The following is a 20639-nucleotide window of genomic DNA, read 5'->3' as shown; positions in this document are numbered from 1 at the left end:
ACATTTGACACCTCAGCGCCTGCTGGCTGGAGTGAGATGGTCCCAGGTCTTCATGTCAATACCTGTCTTCTTGGTGCCACTAGTGTCAGTTTGTGTCCTCTGAGAAGCAGCTGTCAGATGGGATTTGCCATGTGGGTGATCCTGGGGTTAGGCCTGCCTCATCTCCCTCCATATCCAGCCAGTCAAGAGCTGGAAGCAGCCCTGGGTTGTGTGATCATGGTTGCAGCTGGGGTGCCGGGCACAGCAGCTGGGGCTGTCGGGGCCAAGGAGGCACACCCCGCCTCAATGTGACTGTACGAGCCCTTGTGGGGATGCACTGCTCCTGCTAACAGGTGAGTGGGAGCTGCTCACCAAGGAAACAGCAATCCTTCTCAGAGCCTGAGGGTCTCAGTGCCAGAAGTCCCTCAGGGTCCAAGAGTTCCAAGACTGCAGCTGACATCCAAAAGAATCCAGCTTCCTTGGCACATCACTAGCAAGGGCCCACCCTACCTGCTCACACCTGCCCAGAAGCACCCATCCCTCCTAAGCGGCCCCTCCTCCCTGCCTCCCTGCATCCACACCTGCAGCCTGGTCAGTGACAGTCTCCTGCCATGTCCACCCATCACCTCCACATCAAGGTCATTCTTCTCTGGGGGCTGTGCTGAGCAAGGAACTGAGGCTTCAGGGCCGATGGACCCCGGCTCACAGTCTCATTATTCCACCTTGACACCGTTATTTAAAGTCTCTAAAGCTTGGGGCTTATCTGTGAAACAGGACCAAAATCCAACCTTGCCGGGTTGTCAGGAGGCCTCGATGAAATGGAAGGGAGAAAGTTCACCCTCCTCTCGCTGGTCTTCTCTTTCCCCATGGAGAAGCCCAGTCCCTTCAAGGGCTCCTGTGACATCCCCCTACCCCTTTATCTATGGGGGAACCTATTCAGAACGTCCTTTCTCTAGCTGGGTTTTTTAGGGTGCCAGGCTCTGGCCATCTGGGCCCTGAGCACGACCGACACCTCGCACACTGTGAGCCCTACTCCTTGCCCCAGCTTCAAAGTCCCAGCGGAGCCTGCACCTCTGCCCCTGATGGCCCCCAATCCCTCGCGCCTCGCGGAGCACAGAGGAAGCTGGGTGCAGACATGCATCTCAAGGAGAAATCAATCAGACCCACTAGTGCCAGCCCAGTTTGCACTCTGGAAATTTATTAAACCCTTACATTATTCATTAGAAATCTCAATCCAGGTTCCATTGATTTGCGTGGTGTCTAGGAACCATGCCGAGCAGTTATTACAGAGAAGAGAATTGATGGCAACAGCTCCGTCTGCCAGCTGCTTGTCCACATCCGCTGCACCGTGGTTCTAGGTGTGAATGGGGTGAGAAGACGCGGCACGCACAGAAGACAGCAGGCGAGGCCGCGGTAAATGCCAAGCAGAGAGGGCACACTGCCTGCCGGCCAGAGGACTGGATATCACTGATCAGAAGAAATCTCAGGCCCGCCTCTCTGCCAGGGAAAGTCTCCTCCCGGGTCGTGCTCCTGCCCAGCCCTGCACCTGTATGTGGCTCCCTCAGGACGACCGCAGGAAGATATCATCACCTGGCATCAGGATATCATCATCTGGATTCAGGTGCCAGTGGAGCTTGGGGACCTCCTGCCTAAGAAGAGGGGAGGTGGATGGTTCCTGTGAAGGCTGCCATTGTTCTCAATGCAGATCAGCCCCCACAGCTCCAGGCCACCAGGAAGCTGAGTGCCGTGACTGCCTGGGGCCTGCGTCAGCTATTCCTCTCCCAGCCTCGCTTTTCCCACGCCTGGCTCACAGTGATCAGACTGTCCCTCATCCACCTGTCCCTCAGCCTTCTGGCGAGACTCCCACTTCACGCTGGCATGCATTAGACACCGAGAACAAGGCTGGGGCCGGGGCGGCACAGACGGGCCCTGCCCTGGGGAACCAGGCTGTCTCAGAGATCAATGTCCTGTTCCTCTCACTCACTCCCCCATTTGACTCATGATCACCATAAGCCCTGGACAATGGCCGTGATCATCACCAACCAACCCAGAGTTTCTGACTCAGCAATGCCCCAAAAGTCATGACTAGGTTGGTGCAAAAGTAAGTGTGATTTTTGCCATTATGTTCAACAGCAAAATCTACCATTACTTTTGCCCCAATCTAATAATAAAATGGTAGTGACCGGCTTTAGGTGGCAGAAAGCACGTGTGGCAGCAGCCCTGACAATACCCAGACAGGATGGGGGGCACCCACTCAGGGCACCGTGGCCAGCAGACTCATTGTCTGCCGCACGTGGCGCTGCGTGCGTCCTTCTCCGTGGAGAGGGCCCCTCAGGCAGTGACCGGGCGCGACACTGTTTCACTTGTGTGGGTTCCCGGCCCTGCTCCCCCAGCTCGCATGTGGCTGGTGGGCTCTGCAGCCGAAGCCCCGCCTGGTCTGGTCCTGGGGACCTTTATAGCTTTTCTGTGTCCAAGTGTTCTTTTCTATCTCATTGATTTTTGTCTTCAGGGCAGTGAAGCTTCATCGTAGTTTCATTGTCAATTTAGCATCTCCCCTCATGTATAATTAACACTTCTTCCCTGATTTCTCAGCGCTCTCAAAGACAGCATCGGCATGTCTACACCTCTCAACAGTTTTAAATTTTTTATTAAATATTAATAAGGAAATAAATACTCAAATGCCTGGCAGTTTATGTAGCATGTATTTTATTGTGTTCAAAATAAATGGGAAGTGTAAATCTTACTGATCAGAATTCTAAGGTCAGCTTTGAAGAGATTAGGGAAGTGACTTCTTGAAAAAAACGTTTTTTTCATCAATAACCACGCTTTCCCTGTTACCCTCCGGTGTTAATCTTTACAGATTAGCTTGTGTTGTTTTTATTTAGTAGCTGAATAGTTACAGATAGTCGCTCATTGCCAGGAGCAATCATGTGAAAAACTCCCTCTGCTGAAGTTGGGGAAAGAAAGCATGGGGCTGGGAGGAAGGAAGAGAAAGAAAGAGAAGAGACCAGAGGAAGAATGGAGAAAGGGAGTGTAAAGGGGGGGAAGGAAGGGAGGGAGGAGGGAGGAGAGACAGAGAGAGGGAGGAGGAAGGGACGCAGGGACACACGCGCAGACTTGAACGCACACCAGCACTCCCTCACGCCAGCCTCGGCCTCTGTCGGACGTCTCTCCTTCGACCTCCTAGGCTCCTCCGACGCAGGGTTGATCACCGCAGCGTGACCCTAGAAGCTGTTCTGACGGACAGCCACAGCCTCCTTGATTAATCTCCAGCCCTGCAGTTTCCTCACCCTCCTCCTGAGCCAGCTCACCCGACACGGTGGTCTGACGGGCCCGTCCAGGCCTCTCTGCAGCCAGCAGGCTGAGAACCAGCAACCTTCTCCCTGTCCTCACTCCTCTGTCTCTCTGTCCTTCCTCCCCAAGGCCCATCTCGTGGCTCAGCCCTCATGTCCATGTCCTGACCACACATTTGCACTCAGCTGCCTACCCCTCGCTGCCCCGTGCCTCTCGTCCTGGGCCCCAGTCCCACTCTGGGGCTCTCTCCTTTTGTCCCTCTGCACCTGAGCAGCTGCCCTTGTTGTCACAGTTGCTGCAATGCTGCCTCCAGTCCCCTCGCTCGTCCTTCACAGGTATGGCCCTCAGTCCATCTTTTGCTTCTTTTCTTGGTATCTGCTCTTTGGAGGACTCAAATGGACATGATGAGTGTGACCCTCACAGGAACCTCAATGCCATCCAACCACACCCCAAGACCAAGGACTTGCAAGGTGTGTCCTAAGGATGAGAAAAGCACACAAAGTGAGAGGAAGCCCCAGAAATGCACAGCACTGTGGTCCCTGTGTTGCATGCAAGTCCAGGCTCAGAGGACCCTCACCCAACAGTGCCCGTGGACTGGCACACGCAGGAGGCTTGCCATTGTCACATGAAGTATGACCACGTTACAACATGTGACTTTTTAAAAAATGTTTTTATTGTAAAATACACAACATAAAATGTACTATCTTAACTAATTTAAGTGCACAGTTCAGTTTCACTAAGTACATTGAAATTGTTGTGCAATCATCACTGCCATCCATCTCCAGAACTTCTAATCTTGCAAAACTACACCTCTGATTCCATTAAACGCTAACTCTGCATTCCCCTCCCCCCAGTCCCTGGTAGCTACCATTCTCCTTTCGGTCTCTGTGAATTTAACTACTCTAAGTACCTCATGTCAGTGGAATCATACAGTATTTGTCTTTCTGCCTCTGGCTTATTTCACTTAGCGTGATGTCCTCAAGGTTCTTCCTGTTTATGGCTGAATAATATTCCCTAGTGTGTAAATACCCCATTTTTTTGTATCCATTCATGGGTTGATGAACATGGGTTGCTTCTGTTTTTTAAGTCTTGTAAATAATGTTGCTAGGAACATGGGTGTACACATATTTCTTCGAGTTCCTGCTTTTAATTCTTTGGTGTATATACCTAGAAGTGAATTTTCTGGATCACATGATAATTCTATTTTTGATTTCTTGAGGACCTGTCATATTGGTGTCCGCAGCAGCTGCACCATTTTACATTCCCACTCTCACTGTCCAAGGGTTCCAGTTTCTCCACATCCTCACCAACACTGGTTACTTTCTGGTTTTTGATAGTAGCCGACCTAATGGGTATGAGGTGGTATCTCACCGCATGTTGGATTTACATTTCTCTGATGATTAATGACGTTGCGCATCTTTTCATGTGCTGATTGACCATTTGTGTATCTTCTTTGGAGAAATGTCTATTCAAGGATGTGTGATATCTTCAGGTTAGTTTGTCAACTGTACCTAAGAAATATGTAAATATCTGAAAAAATGCAAATATGTATTTATTGTTACCATTTGTTGCTTTTATAATTGTTTTAAGTCTTAATTAAGACTATTTTTTAAATGTGTACTTTAACATTCTTAGCTAAATTAGGGAAGTAAAATTTGTATCATTATTTTTAGCTCTACTACGTGATTGTGCAATCAGTTTCACTGGACATTTGTCAAGGAAGGAGACTCCTTTTTGAAATGCAGCGGAAATGGCCAACCAAATGTCAGTGATGAAAGTGATGCCAAAAGAAGAAAGCCACGAGTGGGGCAGGTTGCTCAGAGCTATGATCCTTCATGCATTGAGCTCAGTGTTGCAGCCATCATTGACGGGGAAGTGCTAAAACCACGTTCTGTTATTTGTGGAAATGTAGGAGTAGCTAAAGAACCAGTGAAACTATCAAAGCTTAAGTGGTGGTTATATACAAAGCATGGAAAAATGCAAAAACAAAGCGTGTTCTTTGAAAGAATAAGAAGCTGAGAGATGTTCAATATTTTACACATAGACCTTAGTGCTTTCTGAGTTTCTTACAAAGCAGCATTTTGAGTCGCGAAAACCAAATAAAATCACCGACGCACTAAGGAAAGATGGCATCAGAGATGTTTTCAGGAAAACGTGGACAGAATCCATGACAAGGAAGGCGGCTCAAGTACCACTTCCCAACGATGCCAAAGATCAATATATGCATGAACTGGCTGGTGGTATAGAAGACCAATCCACAGAGCAAGTAAAGCTAGCAAAATATTTCTCATTAAAATTCGACGATAACACAAATATTGCTAGCATGGCAATTCTTTGAGCCTGTATGTGATTTGAACTTGATATGAAGGAAGAAATTTTTTTCAGCTTCATTGCCAACAAATACAACTAGCTTTAAACTGTATAAAACTATGAAGGATTGAATTGTCAACAAATATGGCTTGGAGTAGGAGCTTAATTTAAGGAGCTAACGCTGGGATCTAAATCAGCACACTGCTTCCTTCATCAAGAAAGTCTTGCTTTAGGAAAAAAAAAAAAACCCCACTGAACTAGATTATGCTTAGGAGCAAAGTAAAAATTATGTGTTTTGCAGTAGTTGGGCATGGTATACTTATATTACAATATGTATTATTTTAAGGCTGTGTGTTAATGTTGAACTTTATCTCTTTGTAACGATAGAAGGTTGATTAAGAACAACTGTTATTACAAGCTGAAGTGCAATGGTAATGAGAAGATCTTTGTCTAGATTGTCTGACATATAGATTGATCTCTTAATACTTCTGAAAGATAAGAAACCAATTAAGTGCCAATGATTTAAATATTTGTACAGCCAAACTTGCTTATTTGTATGACACCTTTGGGATTTTAAATATTTTTTCCAGCAAAGAAGAAATACAACACATTTGGCAACTAAGAGTTGAAGGCAAATGCAAAAGTTAAAAGCTTGGAAGAATAAAGTTTCTTCAATTATTGTGACATAATTTCTACTACTTAACAACAACCGTCAATGAAGTACGACGTGATCATGATATTTCACATCCACGAAAAAAAGTTATCATCCAATGACTGAGAAGTTTGATAGAACTTTCTGAATTTTGCTTTCTACCAGAAGAGGTCGATGCATAAGAAATTCATGGACCCAGAGTCCATTTCCTTCATGGAAAGATGTTTCAAATGTAACTAAAAATCTACAGAATAAATTGTGAAACTAGCTAATGATGAAGGATTCAGTATGGATTTTGAAAATACATTATTTTCTTTATTTTGGATAAAAGTTTAAGATGAATATTCCATATATGCTGAAAGTGCTTTAAAATCTCTTCTGTTATTTCCATCAACATGCATTTTTGAGGCTCATTTCTGTTTATGTTATTAAAACAAGACACTTAAACAGTTTAATATACATCATTCCCTATGAGCAGTATATCATCACCAGCATAGACTAAGTAAATATACAATTCTTAAAACCTGAGCTCATTTGCTGTATTCAAAGCCATTAATGTTGGCATACATAGGTTTGTTCATAGATGTTTGTATTAGTTATCTGTGGCTGTGTAACAAATTACCCCCCAGAAATTAGTAGCTTAAAACAACAAACATTTCTTCTTGTGCAGTTTCCCAGGTCAGGAATCTGGATGCAGCTAAGTTTGGGGCCTCTCCCAAGGCTACAGGCAAGCGCTGGCCATGGTTGTGTCTCATCTGAAGGCTCAAGTGAAGGAGGAGCTGCTCCAAGCTCACTCATGTGGTGGTCAGAGGATTCAGTTCCTTGGGCTGTTGGACCAAGGACCCCGGTTTCTCCCTGGGCTTCCCCCAGGCTGCAGAATGTCCTGAAGGAGAGGGAAGTGGTCTGTGCTCTGAGGACCCCTCCCTGGAACAGTGTCTTCTGGTTAGAAGGCAGCAGTGAGGGGCTCCTTCCAGAGGCGACCTGGAGCCTAGAGCAGAATGAAGCAGCAGAGTGAGCGCATGGAGGCCTGTGGGGCAGGTGCAAAGGCCCCGTGGCAGGCACATGCTTGGCTGTGGAGCCTGAGGATGGACTCCACAGCTGGAGGCTTCACTCAGATCTTTGCCACATGGGCCTGTCCGGAGGGCAGCTCACAGCATGGTAGATGGTTCCCATCAGAGGTAGCAGCAAGACCAGAGCCAGAATCCTCCCATAACCTAGTTACAGAAGTGGCATTCCATCGCATTTGTCATATTCTAGTCCTTACAAGCAAGTAGTCCAGGCAACACTTGGAGAGAGGGATTGCCCAAGAACGTGAATGCCAGGAGGTGGGGACCCTTACACGATCTCAGAGGCTGCTGGCCACACCTTTTAACAAGGAGAAATGCTGAATTCGCTTTTAACTTCCTGTTCAGTGACAGAGAGTGACAAGAGTGACTCTATATTTATCACAGACCTGCACACTTTCAATAATTTATTATAGAAACAACATAATTTATTTCTTTTTCTCTGTATTGTCTTGGTTTAATATTCATGAAGATGTGGTTTTATACCTGTCGAATCTAATAATAAAAACAATTGGGGCTGATCTGCTTTTTTATTTGATTTCTCTAGTGATTGACTGTATGTTATGAAAGCAGGCTCCCTGCCCCAGGTGCACGGTGAGGTGTGGGAGCTCCGGGGAAAGGCCCCTGTGCTGGTGGCTGGAGCCGCCCATTCCCCGAATGGTGGCCGTAAAGCTCTCGTGGGGTATGGGTCGGGTCAAGCCATGCTCCACTCAGAGCCCTCGGTGGCTGTCGCCTTCTTGCTTGGAATACCATCCCCAGCCGCCTCTCAGATCTCCCAGGCCCTGCAGTGTGGCCCTGACTCCTCCCTACTTTCCCTCCTCGGCAGCCACAACGCCTGTCCTCAGACTCCACAGCCAAGCATGCGCCTGCCACGGGGCCTCTGCCCCTGCCCCCAGGCCTCCGTGGGCTCACGCTGCGGCTTCATTCTGCTCTGGGCTCACAGGTCCCCTCTGGAGGGAGCCCCTCACTGCTGCATCTAACAGGAAGACCTTGTCCCAGGGAGGGTGCTGGAACAGAGGCTGAGGGAGCCCCTCACTGCTGCATCTAACAGGAAGGCCTCGTCCCAGGGAGGGTGCTGGACCACAGGCTGAGGGAGCCCCTCGCCACTGTGTCTAACAGGAAGACCTTGTCCCAGGGAGGGTGCTGGACCACAGGCTGAGGGAGCCCCTCACCGCTGCGTCTAACAGGAAGGCCTCGTCCCAGGGAGGGTGCTGGAACACAGGCTGCTGCCCTTTCCTTCGGGATGCTCTGCAGCCTGCACTGGGCCTCTCTGCTCTTTGCTTACTGCCCAGCGTCGCTTCCACGCAGACTGGAATGTGATTTTGTGGGTGGTTTGCTGCTGCATGCCGGGGCCTGGGTAGGGCTGGGACACGGCGGGTGTTGCCTGAACACCTCAGAATGAAGGAGCAGTGAGGAAGGGCTGAGTCTGGGAACCAGCTCTGCTGTGGAGTTGTCTAAGGAAGCTCCGTTATGCAAAACGCCTCATTGAGGGACCACACCCTCCCCAGCCACACACCACAAAAGGCTCCTGTTCAAGGGTGTGAACACCTTTATAACATCAGCTGAAAGATGACTGACAACTGAAAGCCAATGGCAGAACAGCACACGGCCTCTCAGGAAGCAACTCGGAAGAGTCGCGGTGCTTGGGATTCAGAGACACTGACAGGGCCAGGGAAGGAGGGGACCTGTGTGACGAAGCTTGTCCTGAGCTCTAGTCTCTGCCCCCAAAGACCCTGAGACACAGCGTCATCATGTGTCATGGCTTTAGGACATCCAGTGTCCCTCCCCCAAGTTCAAAGACCCCAGGGAGAGCCAGGGGGCCCAGGAGGGACCAGAGGAACAGGGAGCCGGGAGGAGGCCAGGAAGGCCAGAGGGTAAATGGGAAGGGTCTGGAGTCCTGGGCGTCCTGGGACCAGCCATCTGAGGGTGGCTGGCTGGCTGCAGCTGGTTTTAAAGATTTAGTGGACAACTGGAGAAACCCCAGTGTGTGGGTAGAAGCTAACCTCTGGGCAGCATCCTCCAAGAAGCGTCTCAACTATCTCAGTGTCTGCGATGTTGCAGATCAGAGAGCCACCGAGCTACTTCTAAGCTTGGTACCAGAGGAGCCAAAGCAGCCACGGGGCCGAAGTCTCCCGGCAGCACCCCTGTCTGCTCCTGACGGGATAACTGGACCCACAAAAGGCTTTGTTGCTGCGGTTCCCCACGGTGGTTTCCTATTGTGGAGGAAACAGGCTCAGGTCAGGAGATCCAAACAGTCAAAGGACCCAGTCCTCCTAGCAGGGCTCCCTGAAGGGCGCGCAGCAAGTCAGACGCTGTGAAAATCCAAACTGACAAAGGACAGAGGCCGGGGTGGGGAAGCAGGCAGGAGCTGGTCCTTTGCCTCACAAAAGGGCACCTGCAGGGGAGAGGCCTGCCCTGCAGTGGGACTTTCTTGTTTGGGGAACAATGAGGTGACCCGGGGGAGTCTAGGCAGAGCAGGTGGGGACAGGCAGCCTGGCCTTGAAAGGCTCAGGTCCAGGGAACCAGCCAGAAGCCGAGATCAAGGACCTCTGAGCCCCGACAGTGCCCCCACTCACCTGGTGGAGACTGGATTCATGCAGGGCTTTGCAGACTCTGGGGCACTGGGGCCTGTGAGCCACACAGTTTGCAGCTGTGCTGGCGGGAGCTTGAGAGGGTGGGAGGGCTCTGCAGGTGAGGAAACTGAGGCTGGTAGGGCAGAGAGGCTTCCCTGTGCCAAGCCTTGCCCAGCGCTCCAGAGCTGCGTGGGGCTGGGACACCTACAGCCTGGTAGCCTAAGAACTGAAATCTGAAAAATGTAAGTTTTATATAAAACAAGTAGATTATGGCGAATACAAAATCCACATGCATCTTTGAAGTCCAGTGTGAGGTTCAGAGAAAGGCTTGGAAGCTGCAGGCCACATGGACCCAGCCCAGATCCCAGGTCCCTGTGCTCCAGCAGCAAAGTGGGGTGCCCTGGATGAGCAGTGGGAGGCCCAGGGAGGAAGAGGCCTCCATCCATGTCCCCCTCTGAAGGTGAGCGGGCGGGAGGGGAAGGAGGCCACCGCTGCCTGAGGTGGCCCTGGGGGATGTGGCCTGAGTGCAGCTGGGCCCCAGGACAGGGGCTGACGTGGTCTCTGTGGCCTCTCCCAGCCCTTTGCTGTCCTTTCTCAGCTGCTGCTCTTTCCTAGATTCTCATCCCCCAGTGTGGGGTGCCTTTTCCCAACCTCCCTCTGGAGCCTCCCGTCAATCACATGAAAAAGAGAGAGAGAACTGCCATCCCACGGAAAACTCGGAATTTCCCTTTCTCCCTTTCTTTCTCTGTGGCAAGTCTTGGCCAGCACCCTGAGCCCACAGGCAAGATGCCTCACTGTGCCCTCAGCCCCCTTCCCACTCTGGGAGCAGGATGGGGTCTGAGGGACCCAGTCTTCCCGGCCACGGACCATTATTATCGAAGTAGGAAGTAATACTCCAAGATGGATTTCACTCTCAACTGGAAGGTCCACCCCATTCCTCGCTCAGCAGGCCAGGGAGCCGGGACTCCAGGCAGAACGCTCAGACCCTCTTCCCCGAGCAGCCTCTCCAGCCAGAGTGAGGAGCCGCACACCTCATTATCACCCACAATCCTCCAGCAGGTGCCTGCAGCCACTAACAGTCCCTGCAATTCAGCAGAGCCTGTGCTTTAATCGTCAACAAAGCAGTAACACCACAGGCAATTTCTGAAACAGCAGCCCCCAGGGAAGAGAAACGTGCACGTCTCTGGAGAGGTACGCTTCTCGCCAACTCATTTTCCAGCCTGAGAAAAGGTCATGTGGCTTCACGTGGAGCATTTCTCACCAGGCTGTGGAGTCCAGCAGGACAGCATGGGAGGTGAGTGGGCACCTTACCAAGGAGGTGTTCCTTAGCATCCCTGAGAGAGCCCCACAGGGCCTTCCGGGCTGCTGAGTTTACATGTCTTTAACACGGAAACATGGCGCTTCTTGAGAAAGAAAAGTTTCCAGATGGCAGGGCTCGAGCACACTGAAAAGGATAAATATTGGTGGCCTGTAGTCCTCCAAGCTTATGGGGGCCCAGCAAGAACAAGAAGGGAGGGAGATTCACTGTTGGACAGTGGGGAAAGATCTTCTAGGATCTCATTCATTTATCCGTCGGATGAATACATGAATTAATGAATTAATGAATTAATGAATTAATGAATGAACATGTGGGCTGCGGCACTGGGCTTCCAGAACTCACAAGACACATCCCTGTCTCCTATGAGAAATGCAAAATACATCTGTGAAACATGTGAGCCAGCAGTTGAGGATGGCGCCCGGCGTGTGTGGAGTGGCAAGGCTCACCCTGGGAGAGGTAGCTCCAGATTCCCGCCGTGGTGAGATGTCACCGAGCTGGCCTGGAAGGATGAGTCGCAAAGGGGAGGAGGGCATTTGAAAGGAAGAGAACAGCACATGCAACGTCCTGGAGGCATAAAAGCAAGGTCCACCCAGGAGTGAGGAGGACTCTGCCCGGCACATGAGGAGGCCAGTGGTGTCCACGGCCAAGCTGTCGCACGGCTGAGTCTTTTCTCTACACAGATGAAAAAAATGGAAGAAAAATCAGGATAGACCGGCCTGAGCAAGCACCCCTGAATCTTTTGGTCAAAGTCCTACTGGAAAGATCTGTCATAGATTGAACCGTGCTTTAGTTCAGAAACTGTTTATAAAGTGTCAGCAGTATCTCGGCCAGAGTGGCTCCAAGGCAAGTTGACACCACGATGGAGACTCTCCCAGGGTCATCTCCATCACCCCTGGGCTCTAGAGGGTCCCAGGATAGTGAGAAGAGAACAGGAAGGCTTGTGGAGTCTTAGCAGCTTCCACTGGGAGACACAATAGGGAGAGGAGGCCTATTGCAGGCCTGGCTGGTGGAAGAATCTCTGCAGCCTCATCCATCCTCCATTCGTCTCTTCCCCTGCCCACTGTCCTGCCCTCCTGCATCACCCAGAATCCACGGGAACGGCTGGGGCAGGGCTTCCTCCCGGGGCTTGTTCTTCTGGGCCTGAGGCCTCTTACTGATGAAGCAGCTGCCGTGGGGCATTCCTAAGTCTTATCTCACCCACCAGGTATTTCAGTGTTGTCCTGCATCTTTGAGATTTTGGGAAAAATATAGGTTGTAGTGGAGTTGTAGCTAAGCAGTTATTTCAAAACCAAGACAAACTATTATGTGGAAACAAAGTCATTCGATCAGGTGAGAACACTGGGAAGGAGGGAGGCAGCCCGTTCTCCACACCGCTGCTCTTAGCTCACACCACAGACCTCCACGTGGCTGAGGACGGACGGCCCCACACCCCCTACACCCAGGAAGCTTGGCCACGGTTTCAACCATGTGGTCGGCCTCTTGCTGTGGGAGGGAAGGTGAGTCCAGTGACAAGGACCCCTGAGTTTCACTCTCAGTTCTGTTGCTTATGAGTCACATGAACTTGAGGGTAACTGGCGGCAGAGAGGGTAAGAAAGTTCATCTGTGAAACGGGCACGATACTCATCGTGACAGTTAAGTTTCTGCATCAACCTGACTGGGCCATGGGGTGTCCAGACACAGGCATCATTCTGGGGGCGTGTGTGAGGGTTTCTGGAAGAGACTGAACGTTGCATCAGTGGACTGAGTCGAGCAGATGGGCCTCCCCATGTGGGTGGGCCTCATCCAATCAGCTGAAGACCCGAATCGAGCGAAAAGGCTGAGTAAGCAGGACGGCTCCTGCCTGGGTGCTTGCCCTGGCCCCCGGGTCTTTTCCCTCCTCGGACTGGCACCTACACCACTGGCTCTCCACTGACTCAGCCTGGAGCTACACTCCGAGCTTCCCTGGATGTCAGGCTTGCCAACTGCTGATGTTGGGACATTTCAGCCTCCATAATCGTGTCTGCCAACTTCTTATCATTGTAGATTCTTTCATCTAAATCCACAGCCACATCGCAGCTATGTCTACATCAGCTCCTTCTCCTGGCCCCGTTTCTCTCGGGAACCCTGGCTGATATGCCCACTGTATTAGGTCATTTTTGCATCACTATAAAGGAATACCTGAGGCTGGGTGATTTCTCGAGAAAAGTGGTTTATTTGGTTCATGGTTCTGGAGGCTGTACGAGAAGCAAGCATGGTGCCAGCATCTGCTCAGCTTCTGGAGAGGCCTCAGGAAGCTTTCAACTGTGGGAGAAGGTGAAGGGGGAGCAGGCATGTCACTCAGCAAGAGAGTGAGGGGGAGGCACACACACTTGAAAACAGCCAATCTCCATTGAACTGAGAACCCACTCATCACCAAGGGGATGGCACTAAACCATTCATGAGGAATCGCCCCATGATCCAATACCTCCCACCAGGCCCCACCTCCAACCTTGGGGATCACATCTCAACAAGAGATTCAGGCAGGACAAACGCCCAAGCTGTGCCAGCCACTTGCCATGCTGCTTTGACAGAGGACTTGCATCAGGCTCAGCCCCCTGGAGCCACTCAGCCAAGGTCACCGTCAGTAAACCTGTTCCAGCCTCCACCTCTGCACCCTCCTGGTGGGTGGTGATTCCCTCGCTGGCACCATAGGGATAGCCAAACACCAGCACTCGACCCCGGGCAGATGAGATCAATGGCAGTTTAATAGTCATGGGTGCTCATAACCCAGTGTGGAGGACCCTTTCTGGGGAGAGGTCACAGGCCTGGCCTTGCTTCTTTGGGAAAGGGGCACTGAGAGGTTGGCTGTGACTCTCTATAAGCCTCAGAGACCGCTTTTGTCCTCAGCTCCTGTTTTCAGAAGATACGGTCAAAGTCATGTCAGGAAAAGTCCATTTTCATGTAGAAATATGTGCACCCATCGGTCCTAAGGGCACTATGAGGACCTACCCAGGATACAGTGAGGACCCGGAATGCTGGATCCAGACGCTTCACCAGCTCACCCCGGGACCCCAGGCCGGTCAGTGGCTGGCCCTGGCCCTGAAAGATACCTGTGGCACCCCGTGATTCCTCCCTAACTGCGCTTTGCCTCTGTGTGAGTTTCCTGGAGCTACAGTGACGACATGTTCTGTTTGGACCGCAAATCCAGTGGCTTAAAACAGCCCAAATTCATTATCTTACAGTTCTGGAGCTCAGACCACCAAACTCAGCCTCACTAGCCTAAAGTCAAGGTATTGTCGGCAGGGCTGGCTCCTTCTGGAGGCTTCAAGGGAAAACCGGTTTCCTGGTCTCCAGTTTCTAAGAGGCTGCCTGCCCCCGTTCCATGGTTCCTGGTCCCTTCCTCCTTCCTCATGAGGTAGGAGGCAGGACTGACTCCAAAGATGGGACTCAGACACCGAATCAGACTGAAGACTAGCTAAAACAGGGCCTGGGGAAAAGCAGTTTTCAATCAGACACGCCAACCAGTGTGCTCCTTAATTTACTGTTGCCATGGCGACAACCAGGAGTTACCACCCCTTTCTGTGGCAATGACCCAATGATTACTCCCCCTTCTCTAGCAATTTCTGCATAAATCACCCCTTAATCTGCATGCAATTAAAAGTGGGTGTAAACATGGCTGCAGGCCTGCCCTGAGCTGCTGCTCTCAGCCTCCAGGGTAGCCCTGCTCTGCAGGGACAGTCACAAAGCTGCAACACCGCTGCTTCAATAAAGCTGTTTTCTTCTACTTCTGGTTTGCCTTTAAGTTCTTTCCTGGGCAAAGCAAAGAACACTCAGGGGCTCAGCCTCACTCGGGGGCTCGCCTGCCCTGCATCACCCACAGCTGGCAGCACAGCACCTTCCCCTTCTTCACTGGCTTCTGACCTCCTCCTCGCCTCATAAAGACCCTTGTGATGACATTGTAACCCAGGATATCCCATCTGATGATCCTTAATCTAATCATGTCTGCCAGGTCCCTTTCTCCACTTCAGGCCCCGTAGTCACAGGTTCTGCGGATGAGGACGTGGACGTCTTTTTATTCTGCCTGTTACAGCCTCCATCACTGAACTCCTCACTTGGGTCTGGCCTGCCTCACCTGGCAGACTGGGGCCCCGTGGGTACAAGGATTGGGTCCTGGTCATCTCTGAGCCCCCCACATCACACAGGAGGCATCAGGCAGAGCAATGCATCATTCACGCTGGCTGCTCGGCTGCTGAGGGCTATTTTCCTGCATGAGTCCTGGGCCCGTTCAGCCCTCCCACTTCAGCTGTGGAGCAGGAAGCCCAGGAAAGGCATCTTCCAATGCCTGATGGGACTGACTGCCAGGGACATGGGTGCAATCGTGTCAAACAACAGTCAGAAGACTAGGTAGATGTTCACTGAGACTGCACGATGTCGTTCCAATGCAGTAGCCCCTGAGCCCCCCTCCCAGGGTCTCCATGTCCACCCTGCACAAGCACACACAAAGTCGGCATCCGTCCGATCTGACACCTTGACTTCATCAGATGCCCAATATGCGGACTGAGAAATAGTCCTGAGTTCAGGCTGAGACTCAGGAGGTCCAAGCGGGAGTGCGGTGAGGGTACATGCGGGTAGGAGGCCGGCGTGCTAACCAAGAAGCAAATGCAGGTGACCTGACCATCCACTCCAGGCCACTGTGCCCTGATGTGGGGATGAAGGCCAGGGACAGCCCCTGCCCGTAACAACCGTGGAGTCGCCTCCTTACCTCCACTCTGCACCTGTTGCTGCCAATGCTCAGAGGTGGAAGCAAGAAAAACTGCCAAGTATCTGGAGTCCTGTGCTCCGTGCACTGCAAGAAGGTTGACCTGAAACAGGCCATGCCTATGCTTTGCCCCGACACCCAGCCCAGCCTCAGCCGTTGCCACCTCTCCTACTGAGCTCCCTCAAATCCAGCTACTGCCACCAGCTGGGAACAAGCAGCCCTCTCATCTCCTGGGGCCTCTGCGATGGCCTCCTGGCTGGTTTCATTTGTCTGTTCCCGCCCTCCTGCTGTGCATCAGAGACCTCTCCAAAATGCACACAGATGGGATTGTCCCCCCAGCCTCCACCACCAGCAAAACCTACAGGAATGCCCAGAGCCCATAAGATCACCAGCACACTCCTTCCTGGGGCCAGACGGCACCTGCCAGGTGTGAGCGCCCAGACACACCCACCTCTCATCACCCTCCCCTTGCCCTTTGCAGTTCCCCCTCTTGGTGTACCCCCACCCCGCCACATCAGGGAGCCTCAGACTGGCTGACCACCCTCCGAACTTTGTTCTCACGCTCCCACTCTGGGAGCTTCCATGGCCGATCCCCTCCGTCCTTGCTCAGGCCCAAGGCTCCTGCATCTGAGGGCTCCTCTGCACCCAGCCTCACCTGCAGGCGGGGCTCACCGTGTGCTGTGGGGCCAAATGATGTCCCCACTGCTGCCCACCGTGCCTGCTGTCAGAGCCCAGCTGCTGGCCATGGTGTAGCAAATGAACGCCACCTCCCGGGGCTCCTCTGAGCTCCTCAAACAGAGGCCTGACCACCTACGAGGCCTCTCCGAGCAGAGGGGCCCCAGGAGCAGGGCTGGTGTTTGAATCTGGTTGGTGTAAGTCTGTATTCAGTGTTGGGCTCACATCTCAGGCCCACCAAGCCCCAGCCTCTGATCTGGGAGTACTTTCCTAACCAGCCGCCAGGGCTTTACCCACTTAGTGAGTTATGATCCCTCCAGGAATCTGCCAGATGGCTGTGTTTGTTTGTTTGTGCTAACATTCCCGGGTGCTTATTATGTGCCAAGCAGCCAGGATCAGCCAGCCCAGCTCTTACGACAAGCTCAGGACAGGGTGTTATTTTCCCTGGGTGAGCTAATCAGCATCATGATGTTAAACACCATCCGCACGCTGATAGCTCCCTGAGCTCTCTCCCCAGGCAGTCCTCTCCCCAGGCCCGGTCCTCCTGAGGCCAAGCCACTGTGTTATCCATGGGCCCATGTGCCCATCCATGGCCCAGTGTGCTCATCTATGGCCCAGTGTGCTCATCCATGGCCCCATGTGCCCATCCGTGGCCCAGTGTGCTCATCCATGGCTGCTGTGTGCTCATCCATGGTCCTGTGTACCCATCCATGGTCCCATATGCCTATTCATGGCCCTGTGTGCTCATCCATGGCTGTGTGTGCTCATCCATGACACCATGTGCTCATCCATGGCTGTGTGTGCTCATATGTGGCTGTGTGTGCTCATCCATGGCCCCAAGTGCCCATCCATGGCCATGTGTTCTCATCCATGGCCCCGTGTACTCATCCATGGCCCCGTGTGCCCATCCATGGCCCCATGTGCTCATCGATGGCCCTGTGTGTCCACCCATGGCCCTGTGTGCTCATCGATGGCCCTGTGTGCCCATCCATGGCTCTGTGTGCTCATCCATGGCCCTATGTGCCCATCCATGGCCATGTGTTCTCATCCATGGCCCCGTGTACTCATCCATGGCCCCGTGTACTCATCCATGGCCCCATGTGCTCATTGATGGCCCTGTGTGTCCATCCATGGCCCTGTGTGCTCATCTATGGACCTATGTGCCCATCCATGGCCGTGTGTTCTCATCCATGGCTGCGTGTGCCCATCCATGCCCCGATTACACATCCATGACCATGTGTGCTCATCCATGGCCCTGTGTGCCCATCCATGCCCCTGTGTGCCCATCCATGCCCCGATTATACATCCACGGCCATGTGTGCTCATCCATGGCCCTGTGTGCCCATCCATGGCCCTGTATGCCCATCCATGCCCCGATTACACATCGATGGCCTTGTGTGCTCATCCATGGCCCTGTGTGCCCATCCATGGCCCTGTGTGCCCATCCATGCCCCGATTACACATCCATGGCCGTGTGTGCTCATCCATGGCCCTGTGTGCCCATCCATGGCCCTGTATGCCCATCCATGCCCCGATTACACATCGATGGCCTTGTGTGCTCATCCATGGCCCTGTGTGCCCATCCATGGCCCTGTGTGCCCATCCATGCCCCGATTACACATCCATGGCCGTGTGTGCTCATCCATGGCCCTGTGTGCCCATCCATGGCCCTGTGTGCCCATCCATGCCCCGATTACACATCCATGGCCATGTGTGCTCATCCATGGCCCTGTGTGCCCATCCATGGCCCTGTGTATCCATCCATGACCCTGTGTGCTCATTCCTGGCCCCGATTACTCATCCATGGCCCCAAGTGCTCATCCATGGCCCCGATTGCTCATCCATGGCTGTGTGTGCCTATCCATGGCCGTGTGTGTTCATCCATGGCCCCGACTGCTTATCCATGGCCCCGATTGCTCATCCATGGCCGTGTGTTCTCATCCATGGCCATGTGTGCCCATCCATGCCCCCGTGTGCTCATCCATGGCCCTGTGTGCCCATCCATGGCCCTGATTGCTCATCCATGGCCATTTGTGCCCATCCATGGCTGTTTGTGCTCATCCATGGCCCCATGTGCTCATCCATAGCCATGTGTGCCTATCCATGGCCCTGTGTGCTCATCCATGGCTGCTGTGCGCTCATCCATGGCCCCGTGTGCTCATCCATGGCCCCGTGTGCCCATCCATGGACCCGATTGCTCATCCATGGCCATTTGTGCCCATCCATGGCTGTTTGTGCTCATCCATGGCCCCGATTGCTCATCCATGGCCATTTGTGCCCATCCATGGCTGTGTGTGCTCAGCCATGACCCTGTGTGCTCATCCATGGTCCTGTGTGCTTATCCATGACCCCGTGTGCTCATCCATGGCTGCGTGTGCTCATCCATGGCCCCGTGTCCTCATCCATGGCTCCATGTGCTCATCTATGGCCCCGTGTGCTCACTGCTACCTGCACTGTCTCCCTCCAGAGTGAATGGAGCCATGCTCTTCCAGCCAAGAACCACAGAGTGCTCCTGGGTCCTCTCTTCCTCTCACATACCCAGCCAATCTGTCAATGAGTCCTGATGAGTCCTTGTTCAAAACCTCTCCAGGCTCTGATGGCTCCCATGGGTCCCAGCCATCCTTCCTCAACCAGGCCCTCAAGCCCCTAAACCCCCTGCTTCCTCTTCCTCCTGTACCTGCAACTCCTCCCCATCAGCCAGAGTGACCCTTTCCAAACATCAGACAGATCATGGCAGCTCCCCTACGTCCCTGCTCCACTCAGAGGACAAGCCAAAACCCTCACTGCAGCCCATGTGTCCCTGCGGGACCTATGACCCTGTGGCCTCCCGACCTCCTGGCCAGCCACCTGGCCTGCTTATGGCTTCAGGTCTCCTGCCTGGGGCCTTTGCCCTCTCTGCTGTCTGTCTGGAGCAATCTACACCCTGCTGGACCCCGGCCTCCCTCCCCCAGATCTCAAGGAGGCACCGCAGCCCGACAGGCTTCCCACTGCCGTCCACACCTCCTGGCCTCTTGGCTCTGCCGAGCTCTCCTCATGACGGAGGGAGCTACGTTCAGCTTCCCCTCAGTGCCCCTTAACACTGGGTTCCACAGGGCTCCATGTTGTACTCAGCACTGCAGTTCAGCTCACAGGGGCCATGCCGTAGATGTTTGTTGAATGAAAGAATGAATGAATGCCCATTTATCGGATGAAGAAAGGACCGTGGTTGTCTGAGGTCACAGAAAGTGGTGGAGCACAGACCACGAAAGAAAGCCTGACTGCAGGCCCAGGCCCTCCTGGAGCCCACACAGCCTTGACTGTTGGCGCTTAGCACCCCATCTCCACCTCCCAGGTCCTTGACCCCAGGTAGCCTGAGGCAGGAGTAAAGGAATGAGTCCATCAGCAATGAGGCCAAGGCCGCAGTAAGTGCTGTCAAGGAAACATGGAAGCCGCCAGAACAGGAGATGTACCCGGTGGCCACAGTGTGCTGGGGAGGAGAGGGCAGGGCTCCGTCAGGGCACGGGGCTGGGAGGAGCCTGGCCCATGGGAGGGTTGTGTGTGTGTCTGTGTGCATGCCTGAGTGCATGTATGTTTACCTGTGTCTATGCGTCTGTCATGTGTATCTGTGTGTATTAGTACTATGTATGTGTTATGTGTATATGAATGAATATGTCTGTATGTGCAGATGTGTATGTGTGCATATTTGTATGTGCATATGTGTATGCATTATACATGTCTATATGTGTGTATGTATACATGTATCTGTATGTGTCTATGTATGTGTGTACATTACTATGTATGTAGACTGCTTGTGTGTGCATGTCTCTGTGTCTGTGTGTGTATGTGTTATATGTATATGACGTGTGCATGTGTGTCTGTATCTGTGTGTATATGTGAGTATGTGTGTTCTTAGTTGCACATGTATATATGTATGTGTGTGTCTGTATGTGTATATATATGTTTGTGTGGGTGTGTGTCTGTAGGTGTGTGTATATGTGTATGTGGGTATGTGTATGCATGTGTGTATGCATGTGTGCATATGTTTGTGTGTGTGTGCATGTGGCTACAGCAAGCCCGT

Source organism: Homo sapiens, chromosome 2 (assembly GCF_000001405.40).
Source record: "Homo sapiens chromosome 2, GRCh38.p14 Primary Assembly".
NCBI lineage: Eukaryota > Metazoa > Chordata > Mammalia > Primates > Hominidae > Homo > Homo sapiens.
The sequence above is the reverse complement of the archived record's forward strand: the minus strand, read 5'-3'. Positions refer to the sequence as shown.